The 21636-nt window shown below is 39.7% G+C and overlaps 1 protein-coding gene and 1 pseudogene across 14 annotated transcripts in view, besides 2 other annotated features; one reads left to right on the forward strand and one right to left on the reverse strand.

Annotated features, from left to right (window-relative positions):
- Positions 752–1711: a silencer, noted in NCBI's record as "silent region_13219". NCBI's record gives its function as "represses an Ori minimal core promoter by ATAC-STARR-seq in GM12878 lymphoblastoid cells {active_cell/tissue: GM12878}" and the evidence as "EXISTENCE:reporter gene assay evidence [ECO:0000049][PMID:35858748]".
- Positions 1147–21636, forward strand: part of USP25 (ubiquitin specific peptidase 25) — a 150083-nt gene continuing 129593 nt past the window's right edge. For 12 of the 14 annotated variants that reach the window (NM_001388301.1, NM_001388302.1, NM_001283041.3 and 9 more), the window contains exon 1: positions 1147–1603. Coding sequence is in view for 7 of the 14 variants with exons in the window: in NM_001283041.3 (NP_001269970.1) it covers positions 1559–1603 (45 nt within the window). In the remaining 7 variants the exon portion in view is untranslated. Of the gene's footprint in view, positions 1854–2167; positions 11691–21636 lie in introns of those variants that run through there. The other 2 variants (NM_001352560.2, XM_047440745.1) reach the window with 2 other exon arrangements.
- Positions 13472–14116: an enhancer, noted in NCBI's record as "H3K27ac-H3K4me1 hESC enhancer chr21:17114626-17115270 (GRCh37/hg19 assembly coordinates)". NCBI's record gives its function as "activates a minimal SCP1, AML or CMV promoter by ChIP-STARR-seq in primed H9 embryonic stem cells {active_cell/tissue: H9 hESC(primed)}" and the evidence as "EXISTENCE:reporter gene assay evidence [ECO:0000049][PMID:30033119]".
- Positions 15169–15493, reverse strand: RBPMSLP (RNA binding protein with multiple splicing-like pseudogene; annotated as a pseudogene).

Genomic DNA, 21636 nt, shown 5'->3' on the forward strand with positions numbered 1-21636 from the left:
CTTCAAGGAAAAGGTGACAACAGGTGGTACCAGACATCTGAGCTGCAGAACAAAGATGGTTGTAAAGTGCACAGAACTGTTACAAAGCCTTAAGAGCTACTATAATCCATGATTATTAAATAACACCACATACTATTTCAATTAGCATTTGCCAAGCTTGCTTTCCTTGTCATTGGATTAAAAATTATACCCGGATTTTCAAGTGTATTCTATTTGTGACAATATGCATTGATAATTTCTCTCCTCACACTGCTGCACTCTCACCTCCGTTCCCAGATTAGCTCCTGGAACTCGAGATATTTTTGTGGCTAGAGATTGCTTTCTTAATGTTAGATTTTCCTTACAATTCCATATATAGTCAAGCATTCCATGCATGGTAGTTAATTGTTTGCTTAATTTGGCAACTGGGATATTAGAATTATGTATCATTAGGCAGTGATATTTTTGTAAGGTTGTTTGCTAGATAGATCCTATTTCATTTATATTAAGTCTTGGGAAGATAAACTTTATTTTTCCAGAGCCTAGCAGTGACTGACACATATTCGAATGAATGAAGGTAGATAGAAAATGTCTATATTCATTTACGTAATGATTAGTTAAGGAGAAAAGTACTTCCCAGCATAAAGATTTCTGGCAACCCTTTGCTTATTTGACTTTTCCCTTCAGGCAAGTTCAAGGCTTGTGAAATTCCTAGAAAGGCGAGGGGAGAGAACGCGTGACACAGAAAGGGGCCGGAGTTCGGGACCCTACGCAGTTTTGGGACGTTATGGGCATGGAGGGAAATGTTTGCTTTGGAGGCTTTGGGTAAGCTAGGGATCCGACAAGCCCTGGGCGCAGGGAGGAACGCTGCCCTCCGGCCTCCAGTCGCGCTCCCCGAAGCCCAGCGCCAGCGTCGCGCAACCTGCCGCAGGGGCGGCTCCCGGGCCAGGCAGCCAGGCGCGCCCTCGCCCCACCCGGGAACGCCAGGCCCGCGCAGGGAGGGGCGGGGCTCCATGGCGGCCCCGCCCCGCCGCCCGGAGGGTCACAATGTAGGGTTAGGGCGGCCGGCGGGCGGGGCTCTGCGGGGGAGGAGCCGCCGGGCGGGGGCGGGGATGGCGCGTGGGGGAGGGGAGGGAGGAGGACTCGCGGAGGGAGGAGGACAACGCCATTCCGGGCGGCCGCTCCCTCCGTCCCCTCTCTCCCTTCCCCAAAGCAGCCCGCGGACCGGCAGCAAAGGAACGTGCGAACGCGTGACGCCGCCCGACTGGCTCGCGCTCTCCCGTGCCCCGGCGTCCTCCGCCCGCTCATGGCCCGGGCCGCCGCGGACGAGCGGCGCTGAGGCGGGCCGCGTGGAGACGTGAGGCGGCCGCCGTGGCCCTCACAGTCGGCGTTTCGCCGCCTGCCCGCGGTGCCCGCGCACGCCGGCCGCCATCGCCTTCGCGCCTGGCTGGCGGGGGCGCTGTCCTCCCAGGCCGTCCGCGCCGCTCCCTGGAGCTCGGCGGAGCGCGGCAGCCAGGGCCGGCGGAGGCGCGAGGAGCCGGGCGCCACCGCCGCCGCCGCCGCCGCCGCCGCGGGGGCCATGACCGTGGAGCAGAACGTGCTGCAGCAGAGCGCGGCGCAGAAGGTGAGGCGAGTCCGCCAGCCGGCGGGCCCCACTTCTCCTTCCGACGGGCTGTCCTCTCCCGCTGCGGCCGGGCGCCCCGGCCTCGCCGCCGCCGCCTTCCCGGGCTTCCTCCCCGGTCACCCCCGGCCCCTGCCCATCGCCTCGGGGGCGTCGCGCCCAGAGCCCAGCTGCGTGTGGGAAGCAGAGTGTAGTTTGCGGGCTTCAATCCACTTCCTTCTGCCGATTGTTTTCCCGTAGCAGACGGTGCCAGGTATTGAGAGCGACCCTCACATTCCTACAGTGCTCTGTGTGGCATCTTAATGAAACTTTATTCTCTCCCCTTAAATGAGAAAGAATAGCTAGTTGTCATCCTTTCTGAACCGATTTTGTCTTTCAAAGGTAGTAGTGTACCAGGCCTGCTATTTTGCAAAACGGTCTCCACCAAAATCGAATTACCTGCCTCGCGGGGCAGGCGTGTTGACCAGGTGGACTCTAGAAGTAGGTGGTTTGCTTGGTTTCTTTTCCTTTTAAGGTTTCCCTTTCTTCTTCTTCTTTTCTGTTTTTTTTTTTTTTTTTTTTTTTTTCAATATAGAAACTGTCCCTAAGAGAGGAAACCTTTCTGGCCATGTTATTCCAGGAATCTTTTGTCCCCTAAGTTTGACCTTGTTCTTTCGTTCACCCTTTACTCTTGCATCAGTCACACATTCAAATGGTCACTCACTAAAGAAAACAATTAAAAAACTGTTTGTGAAACTTTATATCTTTAAAGTGAATAGAGATCATTCTGCTATTTTAGATTTTGCTTTCAGAATCTTAAGTGCACTATCATGGCTTGCACCATGTTCTGAAGAGTAGTTGGCCATGATTTAACTTCTTTTTTTAATTTTTAATTTGCGTGAAAAGCATTTTGGGCAAAAGAGTAAACCGTGCCTTAGTTGTGTTGGTATTACGGGGACAGTTAGGGTTTACTGTGATCAACCACCAGAGTTATGTTTGGTTTATCTGGGTGAGTAATGAATGCCCCACCCTGTTGTAGATTTGGTGTAGATTGCAATATTCTACCTGTGCTTGACTTTAGAATAAGACCTGTTCTAAAATGGGCTGTCTACATACAGCCTGCTAAATTTTTGCTTTGAGATTATTTTTAGAATTTTATGATACTGCTTTAAAGTAATCGAAGATACTCAAGTTTGGAAAGCAAGGATAGTGCATTGTTATTTTAGGCACGTTGGGAAAGTTGTTTTTGAGACTTGTATGTTAGTTGATATTATTGGTAAAGTTAGAAGGATATTGCACACTGCACTTTATTTACAGTGAAATAATTCAAGATTTAATAATGAGAATTTAAAAGAGTTTCCTTCCTAATCCTCCCTATTCTATTTTGAATACCTTCAAGTTCAATTTTTAAAGACTTAAGGCTTAGGAAAGAGCACATGGTCATGTGAACGCTAAGCAATATTTAATATGTATGGTACCATTTGTTTATAATTGTCTTCAGTGTTGAATATTAAAGTCTGTTTCAAAGTGAGAAATACCAATTTTTCACTTCCTAAGTTTGAACAATGGGAAGAACTTTGTAAGTTTAGGATTTTTTTATTTTCATTTGATTTTGACTAAACTGTATTAAATAACTATGCAGGCTCTATTGTATGGTTCAGAGGTTATGCATAAAATTGTAGAATCAAGAATCAAGTTAACGAAAGTGATCTTGGCTGTCGAGTCCAATTTCCTACTTTAATGAATCCCCTCCACACACAAAGGGAGTAGTAGTTAATTCAAAATATTATCATTATGATGCTACTTTTAGTATGGCTGTGTTTTAGATCATTTCATTGTTATTGGGGATTTTTTTTAGAGAAACTTTTATACTTCCATAATATTTAGATTGTTTTACAGAAGAAACACTTAAATGTGTTTGCTTTCCGTATTAATACACGATTACTTTGTTACTCATATTAGAACTATTTAAAAATATTTATATGGATACAAGTAAACCATCTACCTCGATAAGTTGACAGATTTAAATCCGTCAAGCTAGTAACCAGGAAGCGGACTTAAAGCTGGTAACTAGGAAGTGAACTTCACACTTAGAAGAAACAAAAGTGAAAGTCTGTTTTTACTCAGACACTTTATGGGTTATCTAAAAGGAGAGGTGTGTAGTGTATATTGCATAGCCAACATTTTAGCCAGTTTTCTTCTCACCTTAAAAAACTGTGTGTACATATGTGTTTTTAAATTTTAAGTATTTACTATTTAAAATTTAAGTATTTACTATTTAGCTATATTATTTTCAAGATTTTTAAAACTTTTATTTTGCAGATGGATGTAAGTTTTTTTGTTGTTTGCAGCACCACACTACACAAAACTTTCATGATTTTTTGGTTCGCCTATAGAATTCATTAGTCTTTGTCACAATGTAGTATGATGAGGCAAGAGGCTGCCTTTCCCTTTTGATGTGTTCTTTGCTTGATTGCTGGAGTTTGGCCAACCCAGGGACTTATGAGATGTAGTAAAACTGCAGAAAGCTGCTTTTCTGAGGTTTAGGTATTTCAGGTGAGGTGCAGTTGGCAGCAGATGAGTTAAATTCTGTGATAATTTTGGTTTTGGACATATATCTTCAGCCTTTGTGCTTCATGTTTACCAAAGTGTAGGAGCCTTAGATCTCAGAAATTTGATACATAGATTCAAGTTCCAAATGAGGATACTCCACGGCGCCCCCCCCCCCCCCCCCAATCTATCTAACCCGATGAACCAAGCTAGGATTCTTTAGGGCAGTTATTATTGGGAGGAGTTTTGCTCCCAGGGACCAAATTAATTTACAGAGTGAAATGAACAGGATACTATTTAATTAAATGTATCCTTCTGAGTTGAATAAAATATATTGTTTCACTCTAGGGCTTAGAACAGTTCTTTACACATAGTAGGACTCAGCAAATATGTGATGAATGAAATAAGTGACTGGTTTCCAAAAGGAGTGTAGTACTTTGTTTCCTAACTGAATCTTGGAATTTAAAAATTATTGAGAAACAATGAGGCTGGGCATGGTGGCTCATGCTTTAATCCCAGCACTTTGGGAGGCTGAGGTGGGAGGATCACTTGAAGCCAGGAGTTCAAAACCAGCCTGGGCAACAAAATGACACCTGCCAGGAGTGGTGTCTCAAGCCTGTAATCCCAGTACTTTGGGAAGGTGAGGCAGGCGGATCACGAGGTCAGGAGTTCGAGACCAGCCTGACCAACATGGTGAAACCCAGTCTCTACTACTAAAAATACAAAAATTAGCCAGGCGTGGTGGCACATGCCTGTAATCCCAGCTACTCAGGAGACTGAGGCAGGAGAATCGCTTGAACTCGGGAGGCGGAGGTTGCAGTGAGCCGAGATCGCGCCATTGCACTCCAGCCTGGGCGACAGAGCAAGACTCCATGTCAAAAAAACAAAAAACCAAAACAAAACAATGAAAGCTTGAAAAACTGTGCGTGCTCATGCTAGGAGAATAGGCAGTGGTACTGAAAGACAGGATGTGGGATAGATCTCAACCACCTTTTTGTCACCTTGGGCAAGTCATTAAGTGCTTCTGAAGGTTCTTTCAAAGCAGTAATATTAGTATGTTAACAGTAGTATGTTAAGGCTTTAAACTTTAGCAACTTCTTTAGATTAGATTGTTTAATGGTCCTAAGCAAGTGTTCTGTATAGGGAGAATAAAAAAGAAACAGTATAGAATGGAAGCAGAGGAATCTAACAGATCTACAGTCAACTTTCACTGAATTCCTCCAAAGATGAGGGTTAGGTGGGAAGGTTGTCATAGATTAGCCAAGTTCAAGAGTTAAAACTTGAAAAACAATGCAGACTGGATTCAGGGTAAATTTCTTACTTAAAATAACATGTATTTTCCAATTTAGGATTATCTAAGGTTATAAAACTATACCATGCAGCATTTGATAGTTAACATTACTTAAATCACTTTAAATGTTACTTAAAGGAGGCATTCTTTATTAGGAATCAGTTGATTATCTTATTATTAGTATAAGACTTGATTTGGGCAGAGAGGTTTCCAGCTGTTTATTCCTTTTCTTATTCTTTCCTTTTCACACCTACTTTTGACTTGTAGACTCACATTGTATCCAGTCTTTTAAATGAATTCACATCATTTCTAATAAATATTCTGTTGATTTTCTTCAATATTATATGTATACAGTCCATATCCTTTACAAATACTTAATATTCTGACCTCTTTCTTGTCATTATTTTTACCACTTATTACTTTAAGATGACAGAATGCTACTACAATTTATGTTAGTTTCTATTATATATTGTTTCCTTATAATATGGAAATTTTCTTACATTCCTAAGTTTTATAAATGTTTCAAAACTAGATTTAGATGTTGACTGTCATGTCTTTTTCTTTGCAGTGAATGATATTTTATGTCAGTAACATAAGAACCATTTGTACATACGATATATGAATATTTACTATATAATCCGTGTAAGGCGCTGTGCTGAGCCTTCTTACAAACTTTTTTCATTTAATCTTTCCAACCACCTTATGAAGTGAGTGCTATTTTTCTCCTTTCTTATTGAAGCTGAAGAAACAGTATTGGAGAACTAAAGCAACATTTCATCTCTAGTATGTATTAAGGGTTGGATAAACTCAAAAGTCATGTGATACACAAGCCCCTGCTCTTAACCACAATGTTGTATCGTTTTGGCTGTCCTTGAATTCCTGATAAAACCCCATTTGGTCATGTTGCTTTACTATTTTAAATATGTTTCTATATTTAATATAATAAATTTAAACCTAGAATTTGGTATACAATTGGCCTTCTGTATCCACAGGTTCTGAATCCATAGATTCAACCAGCTGTGGATTGAAAATATTCTGGAAAAAAAAAGCATTGTTGCATCTGTACTGAACATGTACAGTCTCATTTTGGTCATTATTCCCTAACAATACAGTATAACAACTATTTATGTAGCATTTACATTGTGTTAGGTATTATAAGTAATCTAGAAATGATTTAAAGTATGCTGGAGGATGTGTGGATGTGTAAGTTACATGCAAGTATTATACCATTTTATATAAGGGACTTTGACATTCGCAGATTTTGGCCTCTGGGGGTCCTGGAACCAGTTCTCCTTGGATTCTTTAATGAGATTGCTTACAAGGTTTGGTGTGCCCATGAGGGCTATTAAGATAAGGTTAGCTCATAAAATGATTAGAAGGCTTTCTGTGTTTTCCTGTGCTTTTGGAATTGTTTAGTGTAGGATTATGTTGAGTCATTCAAAATTGGTGGTGTATGATCTTTTTTGATTTGAAAAATTAGATAGCGTTCAACTGAGGTACTTGTTACTTTGAAGATTTGGTGAACATGACTGTATCAGGGCTGAGCTGCTCATTTAGAGCAAATTTTAGGTAAAGTTTCCAAATTTTGCTTATTGTCTTTTAAATTTTCTATCTTTTCTAGGGTCAAATTTTAAATTTTTTTAGTTCTAGAAAATTCTAAATTTCATTTAGGTTTCTGTATTTATTGGTCTAAAGTTTTGTCCTAAATCTGTGTGTGTGTGTGTGTATGTGTGTGTGTGTGTGTGTGTATGTATGTACATATATATATATGTATGTAGACATGCCATTTTTTTTATCCCTGCTTGTTTTGTCGTCAGTAGTGTTTGCCAGATGCTGATCTTATTTCCTGCTTTTTTTTTTGAGACGGGGTTTTGCTCTCTCACCCAAGCTGGAGTGCAATGGTGCAATCTCAGCTCACTGCAACTTCTGCCTCCCAGGTTCAAGCAATTCTCCTGCCTCAGCCTTCTGAGTAGCTGGGACTACAGGTGTACACCACCACGCCCAGCTACTTTTTGTAATTTTACTAGAGAGAGGGTTTCATCGTGTTGGCCAGGCTGGTCTTAAACTCCTGACCCCGAGTGATCAGCCTGCCTTGGGCTCCCGAAGTACTGGGCAGTTTCTCTTTGTATTTCTAATGGATTCAATCCAAACTTGTGTTTTTGTCTTTTAGAATTTAACCATGCACATGTGGTGATAACTGATAAATTTAATCTTTTTATTGTCATCTGATTATCCATTTATTAGTCTTGTTTTCTCCATTCAGTTTTGATGGATAGACCAAATTTTCATTGTATCACCACCCCCACCCTTGTCTTTAACGTTTTCTTTTCAATTTTGGCTCTTTTAATTTTAAACAAATATATTTTTATAATATAAAATTTTGATAATATAAAACATTAATAGCTTTTTTCGGTAACATAAAAAATTAACTTTTTTCTCCACCCATTTGCCCCAAATTAGGTAAGACATTTTAGCATGTTTTTTCTTATGGTATTCCTAGTTTTGTTGGGATAATATAGAATTGTAATTCTAGGTGATGAATTTTCTTAGTGTTGCAGATGCATTATTAGTAGCTAGTTTTTTTTAATTAACTATTTAATTTTAACTGTGTTTTTTGGTCTGTTGTATAATGCTTTTTGATGGTTTGATGCCACTCTGCTTTTTTTTTTTTTCCAGATAAGTTAACTCTCTGTGTTACCTTGTAAGATTTTACTCTTTGTTTTTAAGAGTTCAGAAATTTCACTTGCGTGTGTTTATGTATGTATCTTTTTAATGGTCCTGCCTAGGATTTTTCGTCTGAAATCTGTGTTCTCAGGAATTTTTCTTCCACTCTTTTCCTCATCTTCATTTAAAACTACATTATTTGGATTTTATACGTCACTTATCTTTCTTCCTGGCTTCAAATGTTTCTTCTCTCCCATTTTGTCCTGTATGCTGTGGTAACTTTTTAGTTTGATTATCTAGATTATTATTTTTGTAATGCCAGTTCTGTATTTACTACCCTTATATGTGGTCAGATAGTTTACAAAGAGTTTGTTTTTAATAATATATATTTTTAGTTTGGTTCTGAAGTACACATAATTGAATTAATTTTGCCAATTTTCTCATGATCAGCTCTTCCTGCAAATATATTTTCATTTATTTGTTAAATTGCTTATTTTAAATAATAAACACACACGAACCCCCTATTTAAAACAAAAGCTGGAACTTCGATAATAACCTATATCCCTTATCCTATCCCTTTACTTTCATTTGAGTGTATCATCTTGAATCCTCTGTTCATCTTCCTGTTGATTTATTGCATCTATATCAATGGCTGAAGGTATTTTTTTTAATGTTAGTTGTTTTAACTTAAAAATTTTAAGAACTTTTCCCTGCTACAATATCTAGAAGGTAGTCGTCTGTATTTTTAACCAAGAGTTTTAAAGTTATATTTGCAACATTTTATACTCTTTTTCATCTGTGCTTGAGTTTTGTATATGGTGCGAGGTAGGGATACAGTTTTATTTTCATCATATACAGATTGAATCTCTCATATCCAAAATGCTTGGGACCAGAAGTGTTTTGGATTTTGGACTTTTTTTTTTTTCCCTTCAGATTTTGGAATATTTGTATTTTGCTTACCTGGGTTGGGTAAATATCCGAAATTTGAAAATCTGAAATCTGAAATAAGCCAGTGAGCATTTCCTTTCAACATCTTGTTGGTTCTCAGAAAATATGGAGTTTTCAAATTGTGGAGCATTTCTTATTTCTGGCTTGGAGTTTTGGGATGTGCAACCTGTAAATGATTTTAAAAAGTTCTTTTGTTATCCTTGCTTTATTGAAAAGTTAATGCTCTCTTCTACTGAATTGATAGGCCATCTTTGTCATATATGCAAAAGTTTAATGCAAAATTTTTTTCCCTTTCCTTGACTTTCATCATTCATTTTGTGAATATCATCCTGTGTTCATTGTTGTTGCTTTAAAATAATCTCTCATACTGGAAAAGAAAGTTCTTTGCCTTTGTTCCTTTTTTTCAGAAGTAACACTTGACTTTTCCTTAGAAATTTTAGAATGATCATACCAAGCTCTCTCAAATCCTCTGTCTTTTTGATTAATTTGATTGAATCTGTAGATCCATTTGGGATTATTAAGATCTTTATGATACAGGATGAGCAGGATATACTATTTTTATTAGGTCGTGTTTAATATCTCTTGTATGGTTTATAATTTAACACAAAACTATTGTACATCTTTTGTTTCAGGTAGTTGATAATTTCTGATAACTGTTATATGGCAGTGCTTTTAAAAATTTGTTATTGGTGTATGCAAATGCAGTGGTCTTTTGTATGTTAATTTTATACCTAGCCACCTTGCTAAATGTTTCTAATACCTTTTCCAGAGACAATTTTGTACTTTCTGTGTAAAAGATCATATCATTAAGGGAGGAGACCACGCCTCATATTGTCTTATGCCCAATTTCTGCCCTCAAAGAAAGAAAAAGTAAAAACTAAAAGGCAGAAATGAAATCCACAAGCAGACAGCCCAGGGCCACACCCTGGGCCTGGTAGTTAAAGATCGACCCCTGACCTAATCAGTTATGTTATCTATAGATTACAGACATTGCACAGACACTGTGAAAATCCCGATACTGTTTTGTTCAGATCTAATTACCGGTGCATGCAGCCCCCAGTCACATACCCCCTGCTTGCTCATTTGATCATGACCCTCTCACACGCACCCTCTTAGAGTTGTGAGCCCTTAAAAGGGACAGGAATTGCTCACCCCGGGAGCTCGGCTCTTGAGACAGGAGTCTTGCTGATGCCCCCAGCCGAATAAACCCCTTCCTCCTTTAACTCGGTTCTGAGGAGTTTTGTCTGCGGCTCGTCCTGCTACATCATGATTAAAAAGTTTTATGTATAATTTCAGTTTTTGTGCCTGTACTTTCATTTTTTTTCCTGTACTAGCAAATACTTCCAATAAATATTGATTAGAAGTGATAACAATGAGTATTTTTTTGTTCTTGCTGATCTAAAAAGGCAGTTACCTACTTTTGTACCTCATGCATTTCTGAAATATTTACATGTGTTAGTTGTGCAGATTTACAAAGTAGGTTCTGTTTAACTAAAAGATATTGTAGTATTTTCAGTCGTGATGCTTGCAGGTATTTTTTCTTTGGGTACTGGTGACCTTTGTTTAAGCTTTCACCCTAGGTATCCTGGGTGTGGTGGTGGAGGGGTGCTGGTAGTTTGTCAGTCTCTTCTCTGTCATCCTAGGAACTGTGAAGTCAGGCAGGGCACTTTTTTTTTGTATTAGTGGCCCTCACTAATTTCCTTCTCCAGGGGCCACTCCACAATTGATTTCTGCCCTGATGTGCTTAGAGTAAGGTGTCTACAGGGTCTTTCTTCCCCTGACACTGGCATAATTTTACTCTCTAATGTCATAGAATTGCTTTAAGCACTGACCTGCAGCAGTGGCCTGCCTTTTTCCTACAATATAATCACTGATTTTTGTTATGTTTGAAGGACCAAATTTGGCTTGTGAAAGTGAGTTTAGGAATGTCACTATATAATGTGAGCAAGTAGATGATGTGAAAGTTGAATTTATAAAAGGATGAGGCCTTGCATTTATTTTGGCAGACTTTAATTAATTTCCAAGGACATCATCCTTGTCATGACATCTTGTTTTATGTATGTAGTAAGTAATTTTTCAGTTTTTCTCTTTTTTGCCCCTTGATTAACTCTGCTTCAGTACAGACCATCTGCTTTATTTTTAGTTTTTGGTTCTCTGAACTGCTGGATATTTTAAATGCCCAGCAATATTTTCCTTAGTCTTGTTACTATAGGTTTAGATCAGTTTCGTATAATATGGTTTTTATGGACTGTCTTAATTATCTGTAGTGCTTGCTAAAAGTGCAGACTTCTGTGCCTCACCCTAGACGTATTGTTTCAAGATGTTGAGGGTTGGGCTAAAGCCTGCTTAATAAGAATCGCAGATTATTCTTCTGCACTTAATGTTTGAGGATCACTGGTTGAAGTTAATTAGTATTCTTAAAGGTAAAAGTGCCTTGAGCACTGTGTAAATTGACTGCAGGGGTCCTTTAGGGATTGAATTATCACAATACACCAAATTTAATATGGAAGCAGGGTCTTTGAACGGACATTGTTTTTTTTTGTTTCAGGTGTTTCTCTCCATCAGTGCAGCAACATGTTTCCTTGTAGAGGAGCTGTCTCCTCCCTCAGGCTTTTCTGGCCAACATCTCTATGGAAACCCAAAGCTTCAGGTGGCTAGGTGGGATACTTGCCCCTCTTACTCCTGGAGGCACAAATAAGTTGAATCGATGGATTAAGGAGTTGGAAAGTGATTGTACATGCTAAAGTTGTAATCTTCCTGTTTCTTTCTGGCTGTTTTTTTTTTTTTTTTTTTTTTTTTTTTTTTTTGGTATGTGCGTGTGTATTTGTGTATGAATAATTCCTATAGGATTTTTTTGTGGGGGCTAACCATAGCATATGAAAACTTATGTACAACTTAAATATATTAAGATTAGTATTCTTTGTACAATTTTAGACATGAAATAGAATATCTTATTGTCCTGGAAATTTCCTTTGTTCCTCATTCATACTGTCCCTCTTTTCTACACCACCCCCCACCCCCACACTACTGCTATCTTGACTTTTTTCAAGTTAATGTTATCGTGGTATGATTTACACTGAAAGTGTGTAATTTGATGAATTTGGCCATACAGAACATTTCTGTCACTCCACAAAATTTGTCCTGTATCACCTTTCTCATTAATTATCAACACCGTCATTATTTCAGGCAACTGTTGATCTGATTTTTATTACTGTAGATCAGTTTTGGCTGTTCTGGGTCTTCACATCGATTTGTTTATACCAAATTTTTTTTTTTTCTCGCATCTGACTGCTTTTGCTCAGCAAAAAGCTTTTGAGATTCACCCATGTTTTATTGCATGTATCAATATGTTTCTTTTTACTATGGAGTAATATTATATAAATATTCTCACATCTGTGTATTCATGTACCTTTTGATGTACTTTTTTTTTTTTTTCCAGTTTTTTGACCCATATATAATGTTATGTGTACATTTGTAAGCAGGTCTTTGAGACGTATTTCTATTTCTCTTGGGCAAATACATAGGTGTAGAATTGTTATAGTACTAAATTGTTATCCAAATTGATTGTATCATTGTACATTCTCATTAGCAATATAGGAGAATTTCAGGTGGTCTACATTTTTGCCAACACCTGGCATTTTTAATCTTTTATGTTTTAGCCATTTGGTGAATATGTGGTGTACCTCATTGTGGTAGTAATTGTATATTTCCCTAATGACTAATGATTTTGGATGTCTTTCAAGTGCTTGTTGGCCAGTTTGAGGATGATTTTTTTTAACATTGCTTCTCATACATTATCCAGTTTTAACACTCCTACACGATAGGAATCACAGTAGCTGCATTCTTCCAAGTCTTAAAATGGCAAAAATGTCAGAGATGTAGCTAAAGGTAGAACACTCCAGGACCAAGTGCTAATATGTTCACAAAACAAATTGAGATTGCACAATTTTTTTTGTTTGCTTGTTTAAACTAACACCTGATAAAAAGGTACATTGCTGAAAAATGGGAACTCATTTCTTCATCATGCCTCAAAGTAAATATTAAATTTATCTCTTTAACAATTAATTGCACACATACATGAGAAATCTTTATGATACATATTTTATTACACCGTGTACAAAAATAATTTCACATTTTAGTTGGGTTGGAAGTTTGAAAAGAACATAGTGCAGTTGCAGGGGTGGGATGAACTGTGGTGAGGTAAGTAAATTGGACAGAAATTGGGCAGAAAGATACTTCCTTTTTTTTTTTTTTTAACAGTTTTTTATCTGTCTGAAGACAGGGAAGAAGAGGAATCTGAATTGGAAAACCCCCACTATATCTGTTGGGTTTTTGTTGTTGCTGTTCAGTCTGGAAATGGGTGGTGTGTGGTGAGAGGTCATTAGGTCATCAGGGCAGAATTGTTTGCAGAGCTGGGAGCTACATCCTCACGGAAGTGGGATAGATGTGCTGGGGAGGGGTGTGCAGAGAGGAGCCAGGAATGATGTACCATTAGTGGCCAGGGCTTGTTATGGTAACACCAATGTTGAAACCAACTGTGCATTCACATATACAAAAGTTTTGTGTCTTAATTCATGCCAGAATACATGCATAATCAAATGTCTCAGTTAAGGTGGAGCTACAGAAACACTGGGCTGAATGAAGTTCTGGGGTTTTCTTTGTCTTCGTGTGAGGCCTCTGGGCTGGGTCTGGGTGTCTGATCAAGAATGCCCTGAAGTTTTCCCATGGGGCTTTGGAGAACGGCTTTGGAGCTGGGCAGAGCTGAGGATGAGCACAGAAGAAAGGAAACGAGAAATGGTCCACTACCTGAGGTTTAAAATCCTCAATTTTTGGAGGGAAGAAGTGACACAAGATTTTATCGGTGCCACTTCACCAGCAAGAAACCTCTAAGGCCAGCAGTGCCTCTGCCCAGGCTTTGCTTACACTCACTGGGCTCGCTCTGCCTGCTCGGCCCAGCAGGGTGCTCTCAGCTGATCCCCAGCCCAGATCCCACGACCACTGCCACTCCGTGCTCAGCCCATGGCGGGACTGGGTATACCGCATGTGGCTTCCACAGCTGGACTCCAGCATTCAGATGAGGGGAACGTGGTGGAACCCAGAAACTCGGAGACGGCAGCAACCGTGGAGCCCCAAGGGGGTGTCATAGCTTCTGCCTGGGGAGTCCCGAGGTCTGAGCCACCAGGGAATGCCACAGCCCTCTCTTGTTCCTGCCGCTCACAGCTCCCTGAATGGGGGTGTGTTAGAGCTTGTTTATTCCTGCTGCGCATGGCTTTGTGAATGGGGGTGTATTATGGTTCTAGTTCGAGGGGTCCTGATGTTTGGGCCCCCAGAGGGGTCGCGGCTCATCACTCCCATATTCCAGCAATTGGGAGTGTGTAACAGCTCTTTTCATGCCCACTGCCCACAGCTCCAGGAGCCAGCCAGGTGCGTGTTACAGCCGTTCTTTGTTCCCACCGTTTGGCGAGTTCTGGGTTTTTGTCCAGTGACCAAGAATAATGAGGTACGTGGACACCAGAGAGTGAGGAAGGCAGAGAAGAATGTTATTGAGCAACAGAAAAGCTCTTGACAATGAGAGGGGACGTGAAGTGGATAGCCCTCTGTGTGAGGGGGCCCCAAAAGCTGGTAGCCATCTTTGCAGTTGAGTCCAGGGTTTTTTTAGGTTTGGAATGAGGAGATGTGGGCTGGAGGTAGCCTTGGAAAAGGCAACATTCAATTGGTTTAAAAGCATTATTCGGAAAGAACCAATTGGGAAAGAGTAGGCAAAAAGAAAAGTTTTCACTCCAGCTGTGGACTCTATCTATATCTAGAACAGGCAGCTTGGTAGGCTTTAAACTGTCTTTGGTTTGAAGGTCAGGTTTCACCAGGGACCTGTCCCTGCCTGCCTAGGAGTTGGTCTACTGTGGCGCCTGCCTAGGAATTGGTCTACTGTGGCGCCTGCCTAGGAATTTGTCTACTGTCCCTGCCTGCCTGGGAATTTGTCTACTGTGGCTATCAGAAACAGCTCTGCGCAGGCCTCCTGGGGTCAGTGGACACTCTCTTTACCAATTTTGGTAGCATCATGCAGATTTGCAGAACTGGCTTCTAGGCTTCTTCCCAAGTGAGGCAGGAATTGAAGTCACTTAGAACAGTGGAACTTACAGAACTGACAGTGTTTCCATTCTTGCTGGGTGGCGCCAGGAGGAGAGCACCAGTGTACCTGAGCATGTCGAACTGTAGCAGAGTAGCTGAAAGCAGCATATAAGATGACCCTGGTCAGCTCTGTGGTTTCTATGGTGTAAAGTGGGTAGGGGTTTCAGGCCTTTGGGGTTACAGAGATCAGAGCCACTCCCTCAGGTCATGGGGTCCTGTGCTAGGAGGTGTGGTCCTAGGGCTGTGTGAACATTGGTGGGGTTTGCCATTACTTTATTTTTGTCCATCTTGGTGTTGGCTTAGGCAAACCTTAGGGTCTGCGTTTTTTTGTTGTTGTTGTTATTTTTGAGACAAAGGTCTCACCGTGTCACCCAGGCTGGAGTGCAGTGGTGCAATCTGGCTCACTGCAACCTCTGCCTCCTGGGTTCAAGTGATTGTCATGCCTCAGCATCCCACATAGCTGGGACTACAGGTACACGCCACCAGGCCTGGCTAATTTTTATGACGGGGTTTTGCCATGTTGGCCAGGCTGGTCTTGAACTCCTGACCTCAAGTGATCTTCCTGTCTCGGCCTCCTAGGGTCTGCAGTTTTGTTGTTGTTGTTGTTTTGGGGCAGAGCTTCGTTCTTGTTGCCCAGGCTGGAGTGCAGTGGTGTGATCTCAGCTCACGGCAGCCCCCACCTCCCAGGTTCAAGCGATTCTCCTGCCCCAACCTCCTGAGTAGCTGGGACTACAGGTGCCTGCCACCACACCCGTCTAATTTTTGTATTTTTACTAGAGATGGGGTTTTCCATGTTGTCCAGGCGAGTCTTGAACTCCTGACCTCAGGTGATCCACCTGCCTCAGCCTCCCAAAGTGCTGGGATTACAGGCGTGAGCCACCGCACCCCGCCGGGTCTGCCGCTTTTGAATGAAAGTAAATGCTCTTCCAAGCATTTCTTGCATGAGCAGAAGAGTGTGTAGAATTCTCTCGGTTTGCTGTCTAAAGCAAGAGGGCTGACTGACCACTTTAGGGCCACGGCCTCCATCCCCGCCACTTCCCCTCCCTTCCCCTCCCTTCCCACTCCTTCTTTTCCTGAGTGCTGATGTTGTTCTGCCTTAAGCTTCTAAGCAGGGGCATCTTTTATGGTCGGGGGGAGGGAGGTGTGGGAGGCAGGCAGGGGATGTTGCAGGAGAGCTACTGATAACCCAGGGCCTCTGTCTTTTCCTTATTGACCATTTTTATGTCTTCTTTTTAACATGTTAAGATTATTTCCCAATTTCTTAGTTGGGTTATCTTCTTGCTGTTGAGTTGTAGGAATTCTTTATATTTTGGTTGTCTTTTATCATGTATATGTAATTACAAATACTTTCTCCCAATGTGTGGCTTGTATTTGCATTTTCTTAACAGTTTCTTTGAAGTTGAAGTATTTTAATATTGATTGTTTAATTTACTTTTATGGTTAGTACTTTAACCATTTTCTTTTTCTTTTTCTTTTCTTTTTTTTTTTTTTTTTTTGTGACGGAATTTCACTCTTATTGCCCAGGCTGGAGTGCAATGGCATGATCTCACTCACTGCAGCCTCCGCCTCCCTGGGTTCAAGCGATTCTTCTGCCTCAGCCTCCTGAGTAGCTGGGATTACAGGCATGCACCACCACGCTCAGCTAATTTTTGTATTTTTAGTAGAGACAGGGTTTCACCATGTTGGCCAGCCTGGTCTCGAACTCGCGACCTCAGGTGATCCGCCCGCCTCGGTCTCCCAAAGTGCTGGGATTACAGGCGTGAGCCACCACGCCCGGCTGCTTTAACCATTTTCTTGAAACTTAGTTTGTAAATTTTTTCTCCCTGTGTTTTGTTCTAGAAGTTTTGCCATTTTAGGTTTACGATCCATTTGGAATTCATTTCTGTGTGTGTTCTGAGGTGTCACTAAGTCAAGGTTCATTTATTGCATGTGGAATCTAGTCCCAGCACCTACTTTTGAAAAAGCTGTCCTTTCATCATTGAATTATATTGGTACCTTTATGGAAAATTAATTGATCATGTATGAGTGGGTTTATTTTTGAACTCAGTTCCTTTCTATCCTTATGTGGTGCCGTTCTTTCTTGATTACTGTGGCTTTGAAATGTGCCTTGAAGTGGGTGAATGTAAATTCTTCAACTTTGTTCTTGTTAGAAATTTGTTTTGGCTATTCTAGAATTTTTTGTATTTCCATATACAATTCTGAGGTACTTTGAACAGTTGGACAAAGAGCCTTCTGGGGTTTCTGAGTAGGATTGTGTTGGATGTATGGATTCTTTCTGACTGTTTGGACATCTTTACAGTATTTTAGCCTTTCAATCCAAGAACACATATATTTCTCCATTTATTTAGGTTTTGTTTTTTAACGGTTTAAAGGTCTTTGCATATCTTTTGTTACAGTTGACTTTTTTGATGCTATTGTAAGTGGTATTTTTTATTTTTATTTTTATTTTTTTTGAGACGCAGTCTCACTTTCACTGCAACCGCCGCCTCCCAGGTTCAAGCGATTCTCCTGCCTCAGCCTCCCTAGTAGCTGGGACTACAGGTGTGTGCCACCACACCCGGCTAATTTTTTGTATTTTTAGTAGAGATGGAGTTTCACTGTGTTATAGCCAGGATAGTCTTGATCTCTGGACAGCATGATCCACCAGCCTCGGCCTCCCAAAGTGCTGGGATTACAGTTGTGAGCCACTGCACCCTGCCAGTGGTTTTTAGTTTTTATTCCAATTGTTTTTTGCTGGTATATAGAATGTGGTTGATTTTTCTGTATGAAGCTTGTATCTGCGACTTTGCGAAATTCACTTATTCTAATAAATGTATTTACCACTTTTATTCATTTTAAAAATTGTGCTTTTTGGGGTATTCTCTAAAATGTTTAATAGAAGTGGTAATGACAGACATCTTTGTCTTGTTCCCGATTTTGTATGGAAAGCAGTCTTTTACTACTAAGTATGGTTTTAGTTGTTGCACTTCTTATTTTGTTAAAAATGTGTTATTGTTAATTTATACTTCTAGATATACTACAGCTTAACCATTCTACAGTTAAACTATTTGTTTATATATCTTTTTATATATTTATGGTCCACTGTGATTCTTTTCTGTGAAATTGACATTTGTTTCTCTTGCCTGTTTTTTCTTTTGGGCTATTTATCTTTTTCTTTATGATTTGAGGTAGTTCTTTATGGTTTAGATACTACTTTTGTTTTTCTATTTACAATAGTCCACGTTTACTCTCATGGAATGTGTTCCAAGACCCCCAGTGGATGCCTGAAACTGTGGCTAGTATTGAACCATTTATAGAGTATATTTTGAAAGAGACTACATTCACATAACATACTGTATATGTTTTCAAAATATTTGAAATAGTATACCATATATAGTATGGTTCAGTACTATATAGAATATAGTATATATAGTTTTTTCTTATCTATATATACCTGTGATAAAGTTTAATTTATAAATTAGGCACTATATAACTATATAGTACATATAGTTTTTTTCCTATATATAGTATCTACCTGTGATAAAGTTTAATTTATAAATTAGGTAATTTATAAATTAGTAGAGACTAACAACAATAACTAGTAATGAAATAGAACAACTATGATAATATAATGTTGTGTGAATGTAGTCTTTTTCAAAATATCCGATAACTGAGATGGCTGCTGACTACTAAGTGGGTAGTATACACAGTGTGGATATGTTGGACAAAGGGAAGATTCATGTTGTGGGTGGCATGGAGTGAGATTTCATTATGCACAGCACTCAGTCAGAATAGTGCACAATTTAAAACATCGTTTCTGGAACTTTTCATATTTTTGGACTACGCTTGATCATTGGTAACTGAAACTTCAAAAAGTGAAACGAGATAAGGGGAAACTACTGTATATGTTTTGCAAATATTTTCTGTTTTCACGATGTCTTTTTATTCTCTTTATGTACTTTCATGAGTAGACATTTTTATTTTTAATTTAGTTTCATGTATAATTAGCTTCCTTTAATATTTGAACTTCCATGTCCTGTTTCACAAAGATAGTCTCATTTATTGCCCTCTAAGTGTTTTCTTAATTTGTCTTCATGCAGGGTTTAAGTTTCATTCCACTTGGGTTTGATTTTTGCATGTTGTTTGAGTAGATGTCAGAATTTTTCCCCTCTGGAGAACCAGCGACTTTATTGAACAGTTCCTCCTTCCCATTAATACTCTGCCTGACAACAGTATGTATACTTTTTAAATTCTTCAGTTGGGACCATTGTAAAGAAAAACAGGTGTCAGGAACTTTCGCCCTTGAATTAAAAAATATATTTTTGAGACAGAGTCTTGCTCTCTTGCCCAGGCTGGAGTGCAGTGGCATAATCATAGCCTGCTTCAGCCTCAAACTCCTGGACCCACACTATCCTCCCTCCTCAGCCTCCCAAGTAGCTGGGACTACAGGTGTGTACCATCCACCCAGCTACTTTTTAGTTTTTTTTTTTTTTTTTTTTTTTTTTGTAGAGATGGGGTCTCGCTCTGTTTCCCAGGCTGGTCTTGAATTCCTGGTGTTAAGCAAACCTTTCACTTTGGCCTTCCAAAGCATTGGCATTACAGGCATGAGCCACTGTGCTCAGCCAAATTAAAATATTTTTATTATGGTTTTACTGAAACTTGTTTAAATATAAACTAGGCATACATTTATTATGTTCTGTTGGGTAGCTCTTATGTAATAAGATGAAAAACCAACTACTAACTTAAAGGTAACCAAAACTACAAAACTGGAGAAATTCAGAATAAAAAGGTTAGCTTAATTTGACAGATGGCAGTGTTTTGCAGAAGCTAATTTGGCATTTGTGGCTTCAACTAAGGAAATCGGTATATGTATTTCAGGATATTGTAATATGTTAAGCTTTTGGAAGTAAATTTTATTTCTGTTGTCAACTATACTGCATTTCTGACTTGATACCTAATTAATAACCATTATTGTAGAGTGAGTGGTATTTTTGGTCTTTTTATTGTAAAACTGTAACAGATATGCTCTCAAGTGTGTTTTTTTTTTTAATTTTTTTTTCTTAAGCTATAGCTCAGTAAATGCCGATATTTCCATGTTGAACTGAACAGGTTGTGTGATTTAATGTAGAGCAGGATACACTTGCTGTGAATAAGAGGTAACAATTATAGCTTACCTATAAGTTAGCGCCAAATAAATATTCATCAGAACTTGTGAGTACTTTGCCTTGTGTACATATTTGAGTGCCTGGGCAATCAAGAGAGTGACATACTATGCAGCGTGATAACTGCTTTTGTAGACATTGTGAAATAGTATTCTTATACTGAAGTAATAATTGTATTCTAAATATTGCTTTATTGCTAGTATGTGTTTCTGCTTATCTGTGGGAATTTTCCAAGGTTTGTCTTTGATTTTCTGATTTCTTTGCAAGCTTTACCTTTGAGAGATTATATATTTTCCGAGTCATATATGTTCATTACTATCAAGTATGTGTATTGAAAATAAGTGTAATGTTACATCTTCACATAAATTCTAGTTTTAGGTTTTCAATTGCATGTGTACATTTCTGCTTAGTCATCACTCAGTATCATGACCGTTCATTTATGTATTCTTTGTTTTAAGCAGACTGAGAAATAGATAACATACAAAAAGCTTTTAAATTGGTAGTGGCTAGAGCCAGAGGTGCACAGATAATATTGAAAGTTAAATAAAGTATTTGTAGGTAGAACTAAGAGGATCTAGGAAGACTAGGAAAGATCTTATAAAGGAGGTAATAGCTGAAATAAACTGTTGAAGATTTGTAGGCAGGTCGAAGTGTTATTCCAAGTAAAGAGAAGTCTATGAGCAAGGGACAAATCTTCAATGATTTAGTGCCTTCTGTTATCTACACATGGTTTTATTTGGCTGAGTGTGATATAATAATAAATATTTGGTCTTTTTCCCTTGTTCCTGGCATGGAGCCCCTAAAGCCTTTGGAATTTACTCTCTAGTCTGTGCTAATCAGATGAGTGGCGTGGGTCTGGGTGTTTGGGGAGGAGAGGCTGTGTAGCTTCCACTTCAGGGTGGGTACTCTTTACCACTGTAGTTAGAGGGTGAGAACTTTCAACCCCAGTCCAGCATCCGGGGAGGGAAGAGGGGCTGCAGATTGAGCCCAATCACCAATGGCCAATGATTTAATCAATTATACTTTAATGAAATCTCCAGTGCCGTGTGTGTGTGTGTGTGTGTGTGTGTGTGTATGTTTTTTTTTTTTTTTTTTTTTTTCCTTGAGACAGAGTCTCACTCTGTTGCCCAGGCTGGTGTGTAGGAGTGAAGTGGCACAATCTTGGTTCACTGCAACCTCCGTCTCCCTGGTTCAAGCAATTCTTCTGTCAGCCTCCTGAGTAGGCTGGACTACAGGTGCATGCCACCGCGCCTGGCTAATTTTTGTATTTTTAGTAGAGATGGAGTTTCACCATATTGGTCAGGCTGGTCTTGATCTCCTGACCTCAGGTGATC

The sequence above is a fragment of the Homo sapiens genome, chromosome 21, assembly GCF_000001405.40.
Source record: "Homo sapiens chromosome 21, GRCh38.p14 Primary Assembly".
Lineage (NCBI taxonomy): Eukaryota > Metazoa > Chordata > Mammalia > Primates > Hominidae > Homo > Homo sapiens.